General features: G+C 43.4%; 1 protein-coding gene across 1 annotated transcript in view, besides 6 other annotated features; it reads right to left on the reverse strand.

Moving 5' to 3' along the window:
* RAPGEF5 (Rap guanine nucleotide exchange factor 5) overlaps positions 1-18103 on the reverse strand; it is a 238919-nt gene extending 220816 nt beyond the window's left edge. The window contains exon 1 of the mRNA NM_012294.5: positions 17779-18103. Within this exon, the coding sequence (NP_036426.4) occupies positions 17779-18009 (231 nt within the window). The 5' untranslated portion in view covers positions 18010-18103. The remainder of the gene's footprint in view (positions 1-17778) is intronic.
* Positions 11801-11930: a silencer, noted in NCBI's record as "silent region_18000". NCBI's record gives its function as "represses an Ori minimal core promoter by ATAC-STARR-seq in GM12878 lymphoblastoid cells {active_cell/tissue: GM12878}" and the evidence as "EXISTENCE:reporter gene assay evidence [ECO:0000049][PMID:35858748]".
* Positions 12721-12830: an enhancer, noted in NCBI's record as "active region_25704". NCBI's record gives its function as "activates an Ori minimal core promoter by ATAC-STARR-seq in GM12878 lymphoblastoid cells {active_cell/tissue: GM12878}" and the evidence as "EXISTENCE:reporter gene assay evidence [ECO:0000049][PMID:35858748]".
* Positions 13121-13170: an enhancer, noted in NCBI's record as "active region_25705". NCBI's record gives its function as "activates an Ori minimal core promoter by ATAC-STARR-seq in GM12878 lymphoblastoid cells {active_cell/tissue: GM12878}" and the evidence as "EXISTENCE:reporter gene assay evidence [ECO:0000049][PMID:35858748]".
* Positions 17379-17448: an enhancer, noted in NCBI's record as "active region_25706". NCBI's record gives its function as "activates an Ori minimal core promoter by ATAC-STARR-seq in GM12878 lymphoblastoid cells {active_cell/tissue: GM12878}" and the evidence as "EXISTENCE:reporter gene assay evidence [ECO:0000049][PMID:35858748]".
* Positions 17569-17798: a silencer, noted in NCBI's record as "silent region_18001". NCBI's record gives its function as "represses an Ori minimal core promoter by ATAC-STARR-seq in GM12878 lymphoblastoid cells {active_cell/tissue: GM12878}" and the evidence as "EXISTENCE:reporter gene assay evidence [ECO:0000049][PMID:35858748]".
* Positions 17859-18248: a silencer, noted in NCBI's record as "silent region_18002". NCBI's record gives its function as "represses an Ori minimal core promoter by ATAC-STARR-seq in GM12878 lymphoblastoid cells {active_cell/tissue: GM12878}" and the evidence as "EXISTENCE:reporter gene assay evidence [ECO:0000049][PMID:35858748]".

The raw sequence follows: 21372 nt of genomic DNA on the forward strand, positions 1-21372 counted from the left end.
GGCAAAACGATGGAGTTTAACTGGTGTATGACCTTATGGGAACACTCGACTGGTAAGAGAAGAACGCCTCAAGTGAGCATGCATACAACTTCAGTAAATACACTGTGCATGCAGCCCCTCCCAACTGCTAGCAAGCAACTGCAGACACTCCACCCCAGAGGAAGAATCAGCGGAGAAAGGATGCAACTGTTATCAATAAACCTTCACTCCTGCTCTAAAACTTGCTTCGGTCTCTCACTCTGCCTTATGCCTCTCAGTTGAATTCTTTCTTCTGAGGAGGCAAGAAGTGAGGTTGCTGAAGACCTGTACAGCTTCACAGCCAGTAACATTGCCACATAGAAGACAGCTCCCCTGAAGAGCGTCCGGATGCAAAATGTTTTAGTAAGAAAGAAAGAAAGTGTTGTGTTAAACTACGAAGTTTTTGTTGGGGTTTTGTTATTGCAGCAAAAGCTGCAATAACCATCCTGATGGACACATTAGAGTAAGTGCATGACACAGATTTTAGAAGGAAGAAAAGATACCAGGAAATGCAAAAGAGGGTGACTGCATCAAACGGCAGTCTGGGATGTGAGGGACAGGTGCTGCCTGCAGTACACACAACAACTAAAATCATTAATCCACTTTCCTTTGTCTTGTGTTTAGCCTTATATTCCCAAAGCTATTATAATTGTTTAAATAGAAGCTTCTACATTTATTACAATCATTACAAAATGAAACTGGTTTTGACTTTCACAATTTCACTTCTCACCTGAGCAATACCTTCTCATATGTATCCTTTGACCAAGGCAGAGGTCACTATTTAAAGCAGGTAGTTTTGAAAATATTATGCTAATCAGCAATCAACACATTTGTAACTCTCCACCCCCTAAAGCAGACCAGGTGGATGGTTACTCAAGCCTTTGCAACAGTTCCCCTTTTCTTCTTATGGGAAGTGGGGAATGTGAGAACTTAAATATTCTAAAAAAAATTAATAGATTGGGTGGGGTGAGGGCTTCTCTGACAGTTTTAACATGCAGAGGTGTGCTTCAATCATCCAAACTCCTGAAAAGGGCATCAAGCACCCTCTCCCATTCCAAATGGAGCCCTCAGCTGGGGCCAGGCAAACTGATGGTTTGGTGCCAGGATGAAGAAACAGGAGTGCTGTGCTGGGAAACAATGACAGCAAACAAGCGCCTGAGCTGATTCAGAGAAGAGAGACTGGGAAAACAGCCCACCAGAGAAGCCTCCAGGAGAAAAGCTCGGGAGAGGAGAACAAGACAACAGGAACCACAAAGCCAAAGGAAACCTAACCCAAAGTGAAGATGGATAGCTCATCCAAGGGGAAGTAAGGAGATGAATCTTCACAAACCAGGAAGAAGGCCGATCAGAGACTTCTGAAGACCAAACCAGAGAAGGAGATGGTAAGCACAGAAAGTGGACCTGAGTCTCTGAACTGGAAAAACTCCTTTCCCAGCTAGGGGGACAGGGAGAACATTCACTCTAGACTGGAGGTGAAAACAAGATGGATTTGCGGGAACCATCCTTGCCCCAGGGTCTGAGCCTGGAAAAGGGATTCCTGTATGTCTGGGTCCCCCAGCCCCCACAGCCCTTCCTCCACACTGAGCTCCTCCTTGTTCCCTGACCAGGGCTTGGATTCTCTTACCAGGGTATTCCGCACTAGAACCCCCTCTCCTCTTCCCTCTGGTCCGTTCCCCCTAAGAGGTGATGCACAGGCATGGCCACTTCCTGGAAGCCTTCAACTGGGAATGCTCTACCTCCTTCCTGGCAGATTTGGGCTCCTGTCCTCTGGGCTTCCATTTGCTTGTCTTCTCCAGGTACCCAGCAACCAAGCTTTACTGGAGAAATGACCAGAAAGAAGAGAAAATGGAGCAAAACCAAAGGGTTCATACACTTGAACTTGTGCCACACTGAGTAACACGAGGTGACTTATCATTATGGCCTCAGCTGCATGAGGTCATCCCTTGACTCCCTCACACATCCATGTTTTCTGACATATAAATATAAGAAAACCCAGTGTATTACTCTGTTTTCACACTGCTGATAAAGACATACCCAGGACTGGGCAATTTACAAAAGAAATAGGTTTAATGGACTTGTTCCATGTGGCTGGGGAGGCCTCAGAATCATGGCAGAAGGTGAAAGGCACATCTCACATGGCAGCAGACAAGAGAAAAGAGCTTGTGCAGGGAAACTCCCCTTTTTAAAACCATCAGATCTCATGAGACTTATTCACTATCATGAGAACAGCACAGGAAAGATCTGCCCTGTGATTCAATTACCTCCCACCGGGTTCCTCCCACAACACGTGAGAATTCAAGACGAGATTTGGGTGGGGACACAGCCAAACCATATCATTCCACCCGGCCCCTCCCAAATCTCATGTCCTCACATTTCAAAACCAATCTTTCCTTCCCAACAGTCCCCCAAAACATTAGCTCATTTCAGCATTAACTCAAAAGTCCACAGTCCAAAGTCTCATCTGAGACAAGGCAAGTCCCTTCTGCCTATGAGCCTGTAAAATCAAAAGCAAGTTAGTTACTTCCTAAATACAACGGGGGTGAAGGCATTGAGTAAATACAGCCATTCCAAATGGGAGAATTGGCCAAAACAAAGGGGCTACAGGCCCTGTATCAGTCCAAAATCCAGCAGGGCTGTCAAATCTTAAAGGTCCAAAATGATCTCTTTTGACTCCATGTCTCAAATCCAGGTCATGCTGATGCAAGACAGGGCTCCCACAGCCTTGGGCAGCTCCACCCCTGTGGCTTTGCAGGGTATATTCCCCTCCAGGCTGCTTTCACAGGCTGGTGTTGAATGTCTATGGCTTTTCCAGGGGCACAGTGTAAGCTGTTAGCAGATCTACCATTCTGGGGTCTGGAGGACAGTGGCCTTCTTCTCACAGCTCCACTAGGTGGTAGAGAGCTGTCCCCCAGTAGGGACTCTGTTTAGGGGCTCCCACCCCACATTCCCCTTCCACAATGCCCTAGCAGAGGTGCTCCATGAGGGCCCTGCTCCTGCAGCAAACCTCTGCCATTTCCATACATCTTCTAAAATCTAGGCAGAGGTTCTCAAACCCCAATTCTTGACTTCTGTGCACTCACAGACTCAACACAACGTGGAAGTTGCCAAAGCTTGGAGCTTCCACCCTCTGAAGCCAAAGCCTGAGCTCTATGTTGGCCCCTTTCAGCCATGGCTGGAGCAGCTGGGACACAGGACACCAAGTTCCCTAGGCTGCACACAGCACATGGACCCTGGGCCCAGCCCACCAAACCACGTTTTCCTCCTAGGCCTCTGGGCCTGTGATGGGAGGGGCTGCAGTAAAGGTCTCTGACACCTTGGACCTTTTTCTGCTTCACAACAGAAAAACCCTGGAGATATTTTTCCCATTGTCTTGGGGATTAACATTAGGCTCCGCATTACTTATGCAAATTTCCGTAGCTGGCTTGAATTTCTCCTCAGAAAATGGGATATTCTTTTCTATCACATTGTCAGGCTGCAAATTTTCCAAACTTTTATGCTCTGCTTCACTTATAAAACTGAATGCCTTTAACACCACCCAAGTCACCTCTTGAATGCTTTGCTGCTTAGAAATTTCTTCTGCCAGATACCCTAAATCATCTCTCTCAAGTTCAAAGTTCCACAAATCTCTAGGACAGGGGCAAAATGCCACCAGTTCTTTGCTAAAACATAACAAGAGTCACCTTTGCTCCAGTTCCCAACACATTCCTCGTCTCCATCTGAGACCACCTAAGCCTGGACTTTATTGTCCATATCACTACAAGTATCTTGGGCAAAACCATTCAACAAGTCTCTAGGAAGTTCCAAACTTTCCCAAATTTTCCTGTCTTCTTCTGAGCCCTGCAAACCGTTCCAACCTCTGCCTGTTACCCAGTTCCAAAGTCGCTTCCACATTTTCAGGTATCTTTTCAGTAGTGCCCCCACTCTACTGGTATCAATTTACTGTATTAGTCCGTTTTCATGCTGCTGATAAAGACATACCCTGGACTGGGCAATTTACAAAAGAAAGAGGTTTAATGGACTTACAGTCCGCATGGCTGGAGAGGCCTCACAATCACGGAGGAAGGTAAAATGCACGTCTCACATGGTGGTAGACAAGGGAAAAGAGCTTCTGCAGGGAAACTCCCCTTTTTAAAACCATCAGATCTCATAAAATTTATTCACTATCACAAGAACAGCACAGGAAAGATCTGCCCCCATGATTCGGTTACCTCCCACCGGGTTCCTCCTACAACACATGGTAATTCAAGATGAGATCTGGGTAGGTATCAACCCAACTACCCAGAAAGAGAGGGAAAAAAATTCCAGGGTTGATTTTTCCTCATAGAGAATTTTTCTTATACCTAAAGAATTGTAACAACAGAAAATTTGAGATTGGGGGCTTGTTTTGTCTTTATATATTTCATTTATTAAGACAAGGTATTCAGATGTTGGTACCCAACCTTTACCACCCCAATATTATTTACAAAAGCTCTGAAATAGTTTCAACCTAGCATGACATTTCAATATAAAAGAACTAATAAACACGCAGAATTGGTATTAGTATGTGTGGTAGTCCTGCTTCATGGTGAGGTTACTGTAGAAGATGATCTGGATGACCCCCCAAACCATGAAAAATGTGTTTTATCTCACCAACACGCCCATTGCTGGAACCTATGGGCAAAGGAACCAAAGGTGTAATTATCCTATTCGACTATTTGTTACTTCATGAATGTAGTTTTGGCAGGCATTTCAGAACATGTTCAATACACGGTGACAAAATTTAGCAAGATCAAAGTCCCACATAAAGGTTTTATAATTCCTGCGTATAAGCTGACGATGCTGAGGGTGTCTGCGGAAAAAAAAAAGCAGGGGCAGAAAAAACATTGCTAGGCAATTGCAGAGAAGGAATGCCAATTCCTCATATAACAGCTTCTCCGATTCCAAACCCTAGCCACCCATGTTTATGCACAGAAATGGCCCTTGATTCACATTCAAGTAGTCCTAGCTTCTAACCAGAGGTCCAGGGACCCCTCAGGACCCTCTACGGTGAAGCCCAGCATCACTTTCAAGGCCAGGCCTTCCCTTGCCTCTCCCTCTATCCTCCACCCAAAGAGGGATTGGGCCTCTCTGCCTTGCCATCATACTTGCCAGTGCCCATTCTGTTCACGAGTTTCTTCTCACCATGGCTACACCTCCCACTGTCACATTTTCTAGCATGGCTCTTACCTGGGCTCCTCCATCCATCAAGGGTCCTCTAGAAAACAGCCTATCAAAGATGTGTGGGCAAGGTTCAGAGGCCCAAGGAGATGCTACAGCACAAAGGGACCAGTCATGACAAGCCTTGAACAGTTCGAGGCCTGACAGCCAAGGGGAGACACAGCTGTACTGGAGGCTGGAGAGAGGTGACGCGATTGAGGAGGGACTGCCCAGGGTCAGCTGCCATTATAGGCGGTCACAGACACTGCAAGCACCACAGAGAAAAAGAGAGCAAGCAGGAAGAATAGATACTGCTGGCCTCTTGCTCCTCCTGACCTACCACTGACTGAACCCAACCTAAGCCAGAGGGCAACAGAGTCCTGGTGATGAACATCCACAAAGGCAGCCTCCACGGTGCAGACCAGAACAGGGAAGGGCAGAGAGGACTCAGGATGGACAAACAGAATAGCCAGCATAGCTGCCATGGGCGATGATGCTCCAAATCCTCCCCACTTTTTTCTTTTTTTAAACTGCCAGTTACTCTGCAGAAACCACCAAGGGGGAGTTTCCAAAATTATTCATTCAATAAAGTTCTTATAGTCAGAGTCCTCTATTTGGGTCTGGCCTTCATCACGGAGGTGGTAAACAGCCAGGCATACTCCTGACCTAAGCAATGTTCTGATGATGACAGTCACCAAACTTTTGAGGCCTTCTAGTCCAGTGTTACAAAGTGTGGTCTGTGGATGCAGCAACAGCATACCCTAAAACTTGATAAAAAGGCAGATGATTGGGCCCTGTCCATGAGCTGTTGAACCAAAGTCTCTAAGGCTGAGGCCCTGGAATATGTGTTTTAACAAGCCCTCCAGGGATTCTGATGCAGGCTTCAGTTTGAGAAGTTCCGCTTTAGCCCCACCCTTCACCGCAGCCTGAGGCTAACTTCTCAGAGACCCTGGACTGAGAAGCCCAGCCTAAGGGGCTCCTGACTCTTAACTTCCTCATGATGACCTTCAGCAGGATACCAATTGTGGAGCCTCAGTTTTCTTACTTAATTTCTACCAATATAACCAGTAAGATCTCTTTCAGCTCTTCAGAGAGACTAACTCTGGAATCCCTCAGATCTGCAATTTCAGGCACTGATGATGATGACAGCAATGACAACAGCAGCAGCTCAGGCTTACTGAGCATCCTCTACATAACTAGGTGGGCACTGCCTGTGATTCACAGACGGTGAGGCCGCAGCATATAGAAAAGCTCAGTAACTTTTGAGTCTATTAAAAAAAAGACTTTATTCCAGTTATGAAAATAGTAAAATAAGAATGTATATGAAAGCGCTTTGTGAAGGTAAAGCATTATATAAACCACGACAGAGTGAACACACAACTGCAGTTGGGCTTTTTTAAGATCTAGCTTCATTTGAGATACTCAAGGTAGATTAGAACATGTCTAGGCAGCTTTTTTTTTTTTTTTTTTTTTTTAGAGAGTTATGTGCCAAGAGCAGTGGGAAATTTGAATGCTTAAACAGTACCCAAAAGAAGAGAAAACCACCTGGTAAGATCTCTGACAGACACATAGGGTTGCTGCCACTAAGTACTCTTCTGACACCTCTCCTAGAATTCTGTTTATGGCCAAACAAACCATTTAATCTTCTAGAAACAGATTTATAGATGTGTTCTTTTTACTCTTTTGATATGACAGATTCTTGATTTAATTAGATCCCTTTCCCATTTTCAAATGCTCCCTCTGCTAATGCATTAACTTCTCCCTCTCCAACTGAAGAGATGTGGTTAATATTAAACACCCATCTTTCCATTTGTCTAAGATTCACCCCAAAGTGTCCTACTGGTTGAGGTGTCATCTCAACACAGAACACTGCTTGGACCTTGGCCAGACAAGGAACAAGAAATAAAACCTGATTCCCTATCCCACCATTGGTTCCCATGATAGAATACTGGTATTCCATTTTAGAGACAGAGACTCACAGAGGTTATTTGATTTACTCCAGGTCATGCAGCCCTTAAGTGGTAAGCTCATTTTAAAAAATGTTCTCTTACACCCACAGCCAAACTGCATTTTAATAGATTGAAACAGGCATCATACTTCCCCTAATCTCCAAAAGTTATTATTATATCCTCTTCTCAACGTAAAAAAAATTTTTTTGCAGATTTCATTCCTATGTACAAATTCACAGCACAATATAATGAGTCAACCATTTGCAGTGTTTGTTCATTACAGTCAACATTTAGAGTGTCAGAGCAAGCAGAAGTGATAAGCTGTTCACTTCCCTCAACAGTAATGAGAGATAAAATAAATTTGCCGTCAGCACCAAAGTCCTAAGTGTTAGGCAATCACAAGTATTTGCATGTACACCTCATAACAGCTGCAGGTAAATGATTTGACAAGGTCAAATTCAACTGAACAACAAAACCACCAATGGACTGAGTTTAAGTTGCTAGACCAGTTGGAAAAAAATACAGGAAGACAACCAACTAGGATGCAAAAACCCTGGTTTTCAGAATTGTAACTTTAGTAAAGATTTGTTTTGCCTTGGTAGAAGTCCTGAATGATATTTTCTCTACAGATAATACAAACAGTACAAAATGAAAAGGATTTTATAAGCAAGAAGTCAATGTCCCATGAACAAAGCAGATGAATACAAAACAGATTAACTGAGTCACAGAAGGTAAGATCTGCCAACTCACTATACAAATTACAGTGACTCAAAGGCATGTCTATATCTAATGTCATTTAGTTATATTCATGGTTCTCAGTTTTAGGAAATTTATATGGAAAGTTTAACTTTTAAATTTTGCTCTCCTAAAAAAAGCTGTAAGAAAACTGATAATTATGTATATACACACACAGACACACACACATATATATATTTTAACCCCCTGCCCCCACTTACAATTTTGGTTTCTTCCACCTTCAACATTACTCTAAGGCTATTAATGCTTTTTGTAGGAAAAAATTTAAATTTATTCTCTTCTCACATTTAGATCATTACCTAAGCAATATCAGTGTTCATATAGATTGTTAATATAATCTTAATTTACATTTTTCCCACTTCATAAATAAATTGGGATTGTTTGTATACCCCATGTTAAAGCTGTGATTTACTATGATATTTCTATAAACTATGTAGCTATATTTTTTAAATAAAACACATGGCTTACCATAGTTCCTTTATTCAAGGACACCAATAATTTTAAGATATACCATCAATTTAATAATAGCTTTATAGGGAGCAAAACAGTAAGTACTTCTTCAAATGATCACAGCAACCGTAAGATACATCTCAATTTTGAAAGTGTCAAAATGAAAAAAAAGAGACTCTAATCAAGGACATACATTAATTATCTTATTTAGAGAGAGGATGCAGAAGAAGTGTTAGACTGTATAATATGGAGTCAGCCTTCTTGGGTTCAAATTTGACTCCTTCTCTTATTGGGTGATCTTAGGCAACTCAACCTATGCCTCATTTTTCTCTTCGGGAAAAGAAGACCATGAGACCATCTGCGACATAAGATTGTTGTTACCAGGTCTAAATGAGTTACTGTTCTTAAAGTACTTCAAACAACCTGATATGATAAATGTTATATTAGGATTTGTTAAATATTAATAGTTATCATCATTTTCAGCACCACCACCTACCAGGGCTTACCGAAGCATTTGCTATATTTGGAGGTGAATGATTTCCAATTCAACACCAGTAAAATATTTTGATTCAAAAAAAATTTACTAGCAACTGAATGAGTACTTATATCAAGTTTTTAGAGGAAAAGGAGAGAAAAGGTAAAATAATTGTAAAACCATGATGCTGCTTTCTGGAAGGCAAGTTAGAGAAGCACTTTCTAACCAGGGGTCTTGTGGCACAGGCTTCAGAACATCCACAAGCCCTCTGAAATGAGATGCAAAATTATGTCTGAATGTGCATTTCTTTTGCTGTGCTATCTTTTGATTCTCAAAAAGGCCTGGAATCCCCCCACCCACAACAAAAACAATTAAGAGTAATTCCATGCAGGTAATCATAGTGCATTAAAAGGTAAACATACCAAAATTTAATTTCATTAAAAGATACTGTGTATTCTCAATGATTTTATTCTATTGTAAATAGGTTCAGTTACTTTGACAGGTATGTGTACTTCCAACTTCCTAATCTCAAGTTGCTTAAATATCAAGCATGTTACCATCAGAAACATAAATCCTGGGTTACAAGGAACTCATTCTACCTCTTCCAGTTTTTCATACAGGCCAGAAAAGGAGCTTGCATGCCTTATAAATCTCCAAGTAGATGTGTACTATGGAGCTGAGAAAACAATGACTTCTAGGATGAGTCATCCCAAACCTTCATGTTTCTTGTCCAATGGCTGGTATTGCTGGGAGATGGCTGACAGCTACTCTGCTCAAGCCATGGCCAAAGCTTCTGAGTAAAGACTGATCCCTTCTCATGAAGACAGAGGGTACATTGGTGGTTACCAGAGGCCAGGAAGGGTAGTGGAGAGGAGGGGATGAAGAGAGTTTGATTAACAGGTACAAATATACACTTAGATATAAGTGATGGATTGGGTACGGTGGCTCACGCCTGTAATCCCAAAACTTTTGGAGGGCAAGGCATGCGGATCACTTGAGGCCAGGAGTTTGAGACCAGCCTGGCCAACGTGGCAAAACCCCATCTCTACTAAAAATACAAAAATTAGCCAGGTGTGGTGGCACATGCCTGTAATCCCAGGTACTTGGGAGGGAGGCTGAGGCACAAGAATCGCTTGAACCCAGAGGTGGACGTTGCATGAGCCAAAATGGTGCCACCGTACTCCAGGCTGGGTGAAAGAGCAAGACTCTGCCTAAAAGAAAAAAAAAAAAAAAAGCAATAAGACCCAGTGTTCCACAGATCAGTAGGGGCCAAGAACAGTGGCTCACACCTGTAATCCCAGCACTTTGGGAGGCTGAGGCAGGCGGATCACTTGAGGTCAGGAGTTCAAGACCAGCCTGGCCAACGTGGTGAAACCCTGTCTCTACTAAAAATACAAAAATTAGCCAGGCATGGTAGTGGATGCCTGTAATCCCAGCTACTCAGGAGGCTGAGGCAGGAGAACCACTTGAACCCAAGAGGTAGAGGTTGCAGTGGGCTGAGATCCCACCAATACATTCCAACCTGGGCGATAGAGTGAGACTCCATCCAAAAAAAAAAAAAAAAAAAAGGGTGACTATAATTTAACATTAATTGATTGTGCATTTCATTTCAAAGTAGCTTCAAGAGAATAATTTAAATGTTCCTAAAGAAAAGAAAAATATTTAAGGTGATCAATATCCCAATTACCCTTGATTATATTAATGTATCAAATTATCACATGTACCCTGAAAATATGTATCAATAAAAATAAATAAATGACTGATCCTGGAAGCCATTACTGAAGAGAGTGGAAAGAGAATGAGTTGTGCTTTACACTAAGACTTGAAATGTTTCCTGCATCCATTGTTTCAATATACCATATGTTGTTATCCTTTCAAAGTTTTAGACACGATATTGCAGACAGGCTACAGTCTTTGAAATCAGGTAGTTCTGGGCTCCATTCTTTCTCTGCTATTTCCTACATGGTTAGCCATGGGAAAGCTTTTAACCTCTCTGGATTGTAATTTCCTCATAGGTGAAAATACCTCTTCCCTTCAGGGGACTCTGGAGGTTTCAATCTGAAGAAGACCTACCACAGTGGCATCTGTGGATTTTCCCTTGTCCGTACCCATTAACGAATGATTTACCATAATAATGATTTGCCACAACAAATTAAGTCATTGATTTTTACTATTTTATCTTCATATAAAATCTTATGATCTCTCAAAAAGTACTTCCAGATCATATATCATTACTGGAATTATCTATACTCCTAACAAAGATTGTTATGCAGTATTGAGGCAAAAAAAAATCACAAGCGCTCAAAGTCACTACCAATGACTTATTTCCTACCTTTCCATCTATTGCTAGCTACACAAGTTGCCAATTACTGCCACATCAACTTAAGAGAAAGTGCAAGTATGAAATGAAGCCTATTTGTTATGGTATCAGTATTTAGACGCTACCTAAAATACTCACTATATGTTGGGATATCATGTGCTTTTAAAAAATAGAATCCAACATTGCATATGAAAGCAAAAATGTTTGTGTCTAGATTTCTATAAATATGTCCATGAAAGTCCTTTTGCATAGAGTAAGCATCCTGCCAGGGACATAACTATTTAAGTTCCAATGTACCCAACACTTTATATTCTATTCATGGAAAAACCTGATCCACTGTGTATGTCATTACAGAGGAAGACACTGAGGCTCAGAATGCTCAGAGAATAACTAATGCAAAGATAATAAGTGATAGCACTGGGATTCAAACCCACTCTGAAGCCACAGCCTGTGTCTTTTCCTGGGATCTAATTATGTCACCAAAGTGTGGGGGTTGGGAGGGAAAGGAAGAAATAAGTAAATAAAATATTAACTTGCCATTGAGTTCCTTTGCTAGAATTCACACGAAATTAAATGAATCTACAGTTTCTTTTCCTTCTTCCCAAATAAATATTTTTGAAGTTGGCATCCACAGAGCTTTATTTTATCTGTAGCCATAGCTAACACAGTTTTACACCAAGGATCAGGATAGTAGTTTGTCAGCAAGCAGAGGCAGTGAAGTCAATATTTCTCAAATAAGTTCACTATGTGTCCCTCATATCTGATCTGACTCACCCTTCCTGGCAGATGCATGCCTCTCTTAATGGCCTTTATCTTCTGGCTGCCATAAGCAGATGAGAACAAAGTAAGCTGGGTGAATTCACAAGGTTTTTGGATTGACCTTGATCAAGTGAGCATGGCTGATTTTGCTTATGACACATGGATGCTGTTTTGTTTTGTATTTTAGTTGTTTGTTTGTTTGTTTGTTTTTTGTAGCAACATGGTCTTGCTTTGTTGCCCAGGCTGATCTTGAGCTATTTTTAATTTAAGTAAACATTAGTTACCTTTCGCCTATAACCACAATGCTTCTCCCCACTTCCCCTAAACCCAATATGTCAATAATAAGCTTCTGTGTGCCCAAATAAAAGTGAAAAGTCTGACATTATTAATGGCATTTATTTACCTCTCTCAGAGTGGTAAGATAATATCAGCAGGTACTATAAGGCTATCACAGTTTAGAGTAAATAGACCCTTTGCCCTCTCAATGCATTTGAGGAAAACTAAAGTTAATTCAGAGCATGGACTTGGCTCTACGGAAACAGGATACATAGATGCAAACCTCCCTTCTGGCACACACTCTGTAACCTCGGGCAAATTACACCTGTGTTTCAGTTTCTTCATCTGTGGAATGCAAATAGCAGCATCTAACTCATAGGCTCATAGGCTTGTAGTGAGAGTTGAAGTTTATATCAGAATATGCATGGTACATAATTAAGTGCTATGATGTTAGCCATTGATTTCAATTTAAACACAAAGAATAAATGACATGCTTTGCCTGTAAAATAGGTGCCTAAAACGGCGATACATTGGGCATACTGGTATATAATTTGGATCGGTTTCTATTTCTCAATCAATAAAGTCAAGTTTCTAGCAGAGGAGGGTATTGAGTCAGAGCTAAAGCACTCCAGCTTGTACAAAGGGAAAGGGATACTTTGTTCCTTTTTGAGACGGAATCATCTGGGCAAAGAAAAAGAGAGAACTTCATTCAGAGGGCTACCAGCTGTTCTTCCCAGTTTCTCAATTTTGAAGAGCACAGGCCATAAGAACCCTGGCTAGTGAAGGGTGGTTAAAGAGAATTAGGCCCTTCTGATGACCAATCCAAAAGCTGGGAATCACTGAAGGTCTTTGGTGAGCAATTTGGCACAACTGGTGAATCATTCTGGCTGCTGTAAATGAAACAGATACCAAGACGTTGAAGACAGTGGCAGAGGCTGCAGAAAACATCACAGCAGCCAAAGCCCAAAATAAGTCAGTCCCAGCATTTTGACAGTATATACAGAAAAAGGGAATAGCTGTTATCAGTTCTTTTATTAGGGGGAAAATATCAGTCTTAGAAACAACCTGATGAGAAAGACTTAAAAAGATACAAAAAAGTAAGGTAGGAGGCTTAAGACCAAGGGAAAAATAATGCAACCACTAAGAAAGGTAAAAGATGGGGAAATGAACGATTGTCAGTTTAAAAAAAAAAAATTCATCAATGCTCCTTGGGAAAATGGCTGATTTCAGGGTTTCAGGTCGGGAGCAGCAGACTATGGACAAGATGCACTTAGAATATCTTGCGTCAGAAAAGTAAGAAAGGTATTTGAGTTTACTGGCCATTTAAAAAGTATACAGGAGACAAAGATAAACCAAGCACCAAAAAGGATATTGACTGAAGTGACAGAAACAAATACATTAAGATTCATAAGTTCTTAATGACACTTAAAAAAGAAAAACTCACTGGTTCTCACTGGAGATTGTTAAAGCACCAAATCATTACTCTGATAGTTGGTAAAAGGAAAAAATTAAGACTTTTCCCTGTCTATCCTGCACATTGTGAATTTCAGGAGACCTAAATAATTTATGAGGGAAAGTTCTTTACAGACCGAATTCCAATTAATAAATGCAAGAAGAATGATGGATTTAGATCATCACCATTTTGCAACCCCTAATGAAAAGGATCTAGGCTACAACGATCTGTGATACTAAAATCATTAAGTAGAAGACAGACAGCTAAGTGACACTACCTAAACTCACGAATCAATCTTTCCATCTCAAAAAGAGAGATATCCAGACATTATGCGTCTCACGATGTGATGCAATAGATTTTACACAGCACCATCCATGAAGGTTACTTGTCTTTGAACCTATATCTAATCAAACCTCTATATCTAACTGCCAGATCACAGGAAACAGAATAGAGGAACAAGCTAAACATCACCACAAGGAATCAGTCCAGACAGTAGGATGTTCTACAGCACAAATGAACCACTCTCTTCTGCAAATCACTGGCATGAAAAAAGGGAGGGGAAGCTGTTATAAAATAAATTAGAAATCCTAACAACTAAATACAATATGTGGACCTCATTTAGCTCCTGTTTCCAACAATCATAAGTAAAAAGACAACTTTGAGAAAATTTGAATATGGAAATTATATTTTTAAATTATTAATATTTTAGGTGTGAAAAAGGCAAAGTTTTGCTGTTGTTTTTAATGTCCTTATCAGGACCGTAAACTGAAAAATTTGTGAGTAAGACAACATGATGTACGGAATTTTGTTTTAAAATGCACTAGCCCCTACAAAAGTGTATGGAGGGGGAAAATAAATGAAACAAGACTGGCAAAATGCTAATAACTGTTGAAGCACAGGTGTTCATTATACCATTCTCTCATAATCTCTGTTATACAATTAAAAAAATTAAAGGGTTTTGTCAGGAACTCAGGTTGTGCATTACTTTGCTACTGATTTTTAAGAGGTAGTTAGGGCCCTCCCACAATGTACAACTTAGTCTTTCCCTCATTTGTCTTAAAGAAGTGCAAAGAGTCTTAACCAGTATGCATGCTGAATTCAACACAACTAGAAGTGACTGAACTGAGGAACCAAGGAACTCAGGCATATTAACCAAATGGCAGTTTGATTTTTTCCTAGTAACAGATAGCCTACAACGTAGTGAGACCCCCAGTCTCTAAAAGAAATAGGAAAAAAAAAATTAGCCAAGCATGGTGGTGTGTGCCTGTATCCCAGTTCCTCAGGAGGCTGAGGTGGGAGGACCGCTTGAGCCAGAAGGTCGAGGCTATAGTGAGCTATGATCACACCACTGCACTCCAGCCTAGGTGGCAGAGCAAAACCCTGTCTCAGAAAAAAAACAAAACAAAACAACAACAACAAAAAAAGCCTATAATGCACCTGGGTTGAGCAACACAACCCACAAAGAACTTTGTTAATGTCAGTTGATGTCAGATTGTCCAGGTTTGTGGGAGCCCAGGGCAGCATGGATAAGGACCACACATATTCCTAAATCAGATCTTGGTCAATATAGGAGATGAAAACTCAACTAACTCATGTAATGCACAAAGCTGTGTCTTTACTAGTGGTAATGGATTTCTGTTAACTTATCCCTGAAGTCACGCAGCTCCAGTCTGGAGGTATGGCCCATGAGACACAAAGCTGAAGGTCTACAAAAAGATCCAAGCCATGATTTGTTTGCATTAGCATCACTGCCCAATCCAAGGTGGTTAACCAGACAATCCCAGATGCTAACAAGTCACCAACCAACCAGTCTGATACATATTCTACTTGTATCTCTCTTTCTTTCAAACCCCCTGTGTTTTGGACTGTTAAGTGTATGCCCCCTACAAAATTCTTATGTTGAAGCCCTAACCCCAAACATGACATTATTTGGAGATGAGGCCTTTGATAATTATTTAGGGTTAGACTAGGTCATGATGGTGGGGCCCTCATGATGGGATTAGTGGCCTTATGAGAAGAGGGAGCCCTCTCTTCCTCTGCGTTTACCAAGGGAAGGCCATGAGAGGATATACGAGAAAGTGGTCATCTGCAGGCCAGGAAGAGAGCCCTCACCAGAAACCTAATCAGCCTACACATTGATCTCAGGCTTCCCAGCATCCTGAGCTGTGAGAAAATAAATTCCTGTTGTTTAAACCACCCAGTCTACGGTATTTTGTTATGACAGCCTGAGCTGCCTAAGACAAGTTCATATTTCACTTGTTTTTCTCCTTCTTTCAACCCCCTTCCTACTCCTTTGATGGGGAAGATTCCAAAATCACAAAGGTAGTTCCAAGGCAGAAGAAAGGGGAAATAAACAGTCAAATAAATAGTCAAAAAGTATGGGTTTCCAACACTGGAAAAACTGACAATCAAACTTCCTTCAATAAAAACTGGCTATGCAGTTACGAAATGTGTTTGGAAAGTCCCAAAAAGAAATAATACAGTATTAGAATCAAAGAGGGTTAATAAAGCATACATTATCTGAGGTAACCACATTCAGAGTAATTAAAAAATAAAACTAAATAGGTATATTGACAAGGTATACGACACCCTCCCAGGCAGCAAGAAACATGAGTATGAACGCAAATAAATACTATAGATCTATTTATACAGAAACCCTCAGCAATTCTTGTCGCAGACTGCCTGGCAGCCCTCATGTCTTCAGTATTCTGTGCCATGAAAAAGTAACCGTCAAGGATAATAGAAACATAATTTGACCTACTTTTCCCTGGATTCCTGCAAAGTCTATAACTCCAGTTCTTGTTTATTCCGACACCACATCTTGGGGACACATTTCCTCACTTACTTTGCAGGCAATCCTAAATGCCACACATGTTAAGGTCACTTGTGGGCAATTCCTAAACTCTCTGGGTCACCGACTTTAAGAATGTCCCATCACACACAGAGAATCCTCAGAACATCTTCTGAGATGGACCTGGGATGGACCATTTTCCACCTGAGATGGAAAATGCCTAGGAAAAGAGAGATGCAGCCTCGAGAAGCTGAAGACCGACATCAGTTCAGACCCTTCCCTACCCAAAGGAGGGCGCATGAAAACAAGTGGTTATCCCTCACTCTCAAGTTTACACAAACCCATCTCTGAAAGAGCTAGAAGTCTCCCAGCAAGGTCTTGTTTTAAGTCAGACAAGACTGCATTTTAAAAATTACAGCCAAACGGGAAAGAAAAACCACATTGATGCAGCTTCTCATTAAAGACCACTTAATAATAAATTTTTAAAAGATGAGTAGAACCCACCAAAGGTGCCGCCAAACCCTGGTGAGCAGGGAAATCTGAGTAAGTCAGCTCTGTGTCCTGAGGCCCTGGCGGGGCCTCCTAGGTGGCTTCTTAAAGATCCCAGGAGACAATCAGCAGACCTTCCTGCTTCTCTTAAAAATACAAAACATGCCTGACCTGCTCAGGTCATTAGATGCACTTAGAACTCAATGAGGGACACTCCTTCACCAGGAAATCGTATCTGAACACACCATCAGGAAGTCAATATTGAAGGTTCTTGGGGGCGTGCACCCTCCTGCTCAAGAGGGTGTCCAGGAGTATTAAGTGCTGGAGACACCGGAACCCAGGAACTGGAAGCTCACCCAAGAGCTTCCGACTCCTGGGTCTGCCCCTCGGCGGTGGAGACCACCAAAACCAGTCTCGATGCCCAGAGCTTGCAACAGCACCTCCAAAACAAGCACACACGTCGCATGCGTCCTGCAAACAGGGATGCCGCTCGTGGGGCCTGAAGCTTGCGGTTGGGACAGGGCTGGCTGGCTGTTGGACGCTGGACACCTGCAGCTTCCCCTCCGAGAAGAGGCAAACAGCTCGTCTTCAGCCGATGCCCGGTCCCGCAGCCTGAATCTGGGGGCCCTGGGGTTAAGTCAGGTGCAGCCTGGTGGGGGGGAGGTGTGGGGGCGGGGGAAGCCGTCGCTCAGGGGGTGGCACCTCAAAACCCGCCGTCCCGGGCCCCTCTTCAGCCGAGTCCGGCAGAAGGGCGTCCCTTCCGCCACCTCCCCAACTTCCAGACGCCCCCCTCAGCGGCCCGGGGGGTGGGCGCGGGCTCCACGTGCGCGCCGCCCGTGCCCACTCGGACAGGGCCGGGCCACTCACCCGGCCCCCAGCGGCGCTCCGCTTCCTCCGCAGCGTGAGCCCGCTCCGCAGCAGCGCGGGCAGGTCCCTCAGCCGCGGCCGCAGCGACGCCGGCGGCTGCTCGCGCTCGGGCTCCCGGGCGCTGGGGCTGCGGCGCAGGGGGCCGTCTGCCGCCACCACCGCCGCCGCGGCGGCCAGGGCCGGGCTCTCGCACGGCGGCTGCATCTTGACGGAGCCCACGGCCATCCTCATGCCCTGACGGCGCTGCGGCGCCGGGGGCTCCTCTCCACCGCGCTCGCCTCCGCGCGCCGTCCGCGCCTTCGCCAGGAAGCGAGAGGGCGCGACTGCGGCTCGGGCGCGGGGCGCGCTGCCAGCCGCTGCCCATTGGCGCGCGCCGCGGCCCCCGCGAGGCTCAGCCCCGCGCGCCTCCCCTCCCCTCCTCTCTCCTCCCCTCCCCGCCCAGGTGCGCGGGCCCCGCCCCGCCCCGCCCTTTCGCCTGCGAAAGCTGCCTGGGACCTGTCCCCCTCGGATCTCCCACTCGGGACCCGGGAGGAAGAGGGCACCTTGGGCACCGGCTCATCCACAGGTGCAGAATTCCCAGAATCTCCGGCAAACCCGCTCTTCTGTCCTGTCCCTGTCCCCCTACCCCTTAGGCTGAAAAGTCCTGCTTCACTTCTTCGAATAGCCAGGGGTTGACTTGGACTTCAACCAAGTGTGCTGGAGAGTCGTCCGCCCTCCCGCGCGTTTTGCACAGCCTGGCCCCTCATCGTAATCTTTACTCCTGGGAACTGTTTTGGCCAAGGAACTTCAAAATAGACACGCTACAAGGCAAACACCATGAGGCAAAATTGCTTTGCGCCGACCCTTCTTGGCACACGCATCCTTAAAGGACGAAGGGAGAAAACTTTTGTTGGTTATGATAGGTGTTGAGCAGAGTAGCTGCAAGTCTGGTGACCTGAAGGTGAATCTCTGTTAGCATGTCAGAACCTGACCTTCCCTGAAAGCCCGCTGCTGTGATGAATGTGCTTGGTGAACTGTAAAGGCCTGCCGTGGTGTGAATCATTGTTTACACCCTTCCAGGAGGCAGGAATTCTGGATCATTGAGAGTGAAACTATTCCAGCAGTGCCTTAAACGCCAGGGAGTGTGAATGTTCACATCTCAGCTCAATCTGTCTTCAACAAGGGCCAGCCAGGGTGTTGACTTCTCATCAGTGGGGCGCTGGGATCCCCATCTTTGTCTAAGACTTACAAAAGTTGAATAAGCTTATTCACATTTTTAAAAAATGACAAGAATCGTAGGAGGTCAGGGTCCAGAGTTGGTTTACCATTGTGCCCTCAGCCACTCACATGGTAGGTGCTTGGCAAATATGTATAAAAACATGCCATGTAACAAAAAAGGAGGAACGAACTGTGACCTCTGCCCTTAAGGAAGGTAAGACTTAACCTAGGAGTAGACAAACATCCAGAAAAACAAAGATATTGCACTTGTACTCTTGCTAATTGCCAAGTAAGTGTAGGTAAGACCACTTCAGGCCACAGGAGAGAGAAATGCTTCTGGCCTGGGATGGGCAAAGCTAAATCCACGAAAGGAAGGAAGTTTAAACTGCACCTTAAGGGTGAGTGGGGAAGATTCAACCAGGCAGAAGGAGGGTAGGTGTCCTTCAAGTAAGGAAGAAAGACATGAGGCCGGGCGCGGTGGCTCACGCCTGTAATCCCAGCACGTTGGGAGGCTGAGGCGGGCGGATCACGAGGTCAGGAAATCGAGACCATCCTGGCTAACAAGGTGAAACCCCGTCTCTACTAAAAATACAAAAATTAGCCGGTCGTGGTGGTGGGCGCCTGTAGTTCCAGCTACTCGGGAGGCTGAGGCAGGAGAATGGCGTGAACCCGGCAGGCGGAGCTTGCAGTGAGCCAAGATTGCGCCACTGCGCGACAGAGTGAGACTCCGTCTCAAAAAAGAAAAAAAAAAAGAGAGAAAGACATGAGAAAAACACAAAGGTGGTATCACACAGAACTCACTGGGCACTGAAAATATGTCATGCTAGTGAAGGGAAAGATGACATAATGAAGAAGTAAGAGAAGATACCAGAATGGATGCTAGTAACACACTGCAGAAGGCCTTAAACCCTGTCACCTTAAGCTGTGTGTGTTAACTGGAAAGGACTTTATAATAGGACTCCATAGTCCATTACAGTTTCCAAATACCTATCACATGCATTTATCCAAGGCTGAAATTGCATTTGTATGTTACCATGTCAGACTCTATCCGTTTTTACAGTGTTAAGATATTGCAGCTCCAGTTGGTAATTGGTCGTTGTCTTGAGCCCCAGAGTGCCACTCACCCCCATACCTCCAACTTCCCCATGACATACAACTAAAGGGTGAACACCTGGCCCACTAGAAGCCCTCCAGGACACTCAGATTAGTGGGTGCTTGCGCCCCATCACCCCAATGACAACATTGAATCATACCATGAACTTACTCTACTCCAAAGTAGAACACGTGTTCCGTCTCCTGGTCCAGGTTCCTGGTCTTCAAACCCATTCACACAGTTGCTCAATGCAAGGCCAGCATTCCTTAGATTCTATGGGATAGACCAAGCGTCTAAAGTTCAAGAAGGGCCTTTGGAAAATTGGTTTAGGTTAAGGTGATAAATGACAAATGCCATTTAGCTTCAGGATAAAAATAGGCAAACAACAGGGAATAGTAGGATGTGTACACAGAAGAGCCACGTCACTGTTTAACTCAAATCAAGCAACCTTTATACTCGCTGTGCCCTGTCTGGAATGAGAGTCCTCTGCAATGCTGTCCAACAGAACTTTCTACAATGATGCACATTTTCTGTTATCTGTTTTGCAGCTACTAGCCACATGTGACTGCTGAGCACTTGAAACATGGCTAGGGTGACTGAGGAACTGAATTTTTAACTTTGTTTAATTTTAATTCATATAAATTTAGATAGCAGCATATGGCTAGTGGCTACCATGTTGGATAGTGCAGTTCTAGAAATCCACATTTCTCTCAGTCAGTGTCTTCAGTTTTTAAATTCAAATGTCACCATTTCAGTGAGGCCTTCCATGACCATGTGATTTTAAATTGCAGTCTTTCCTATCCATTCCTTTCTTCATCCCCTTCCGAATGCCCCACAGAGCTTACCACCATCCATATTCTATATATTTTATTTATTTTGCCTATTGTCTGCCTCCCCACAACTAAAATGTATATGACATAAGGACAGGGCTTCTTTTCTCTTTTGTTCAGTATCTAGAACACATGAGTTGAATAATTCAATTATTTCATATATAAGAACTAAGTTTTTCAAACAGTTTAATCTGGATTTCTATACAAAATCTGATTTTGCAGTATGAAAGCTTATAAAAATGTAAATCATATAAAAATGGATTAGAATGAATAAGATCTACTGTTGGTAGCACAATAGGGTGACTATAGTTAAAAATAATTTACCGTATATTTTTAAATAACTAAAGGAGTGGAATTGGAATGTTCCTAACACAAAGAAATGATAAATGCTTCAGGTGATGGATAGCCCAATTACCCTGATTTGCTCATTACATATTCTATGCCTGTATCAAAACATCACATGTACCCCATAAA

The sequence above is a fragment of the Homo sapiens genome, chromosome 7 (genome assembly GCF_000001405.40).
Source record: "Homo sapiens chromosome 7, GRCh38.p14 Primary Assembly".
NCBI lineage: Eukaryota > Metazoa > Chordata > Mammalia > Primates > Hominidae > Homo > Homo sapiens.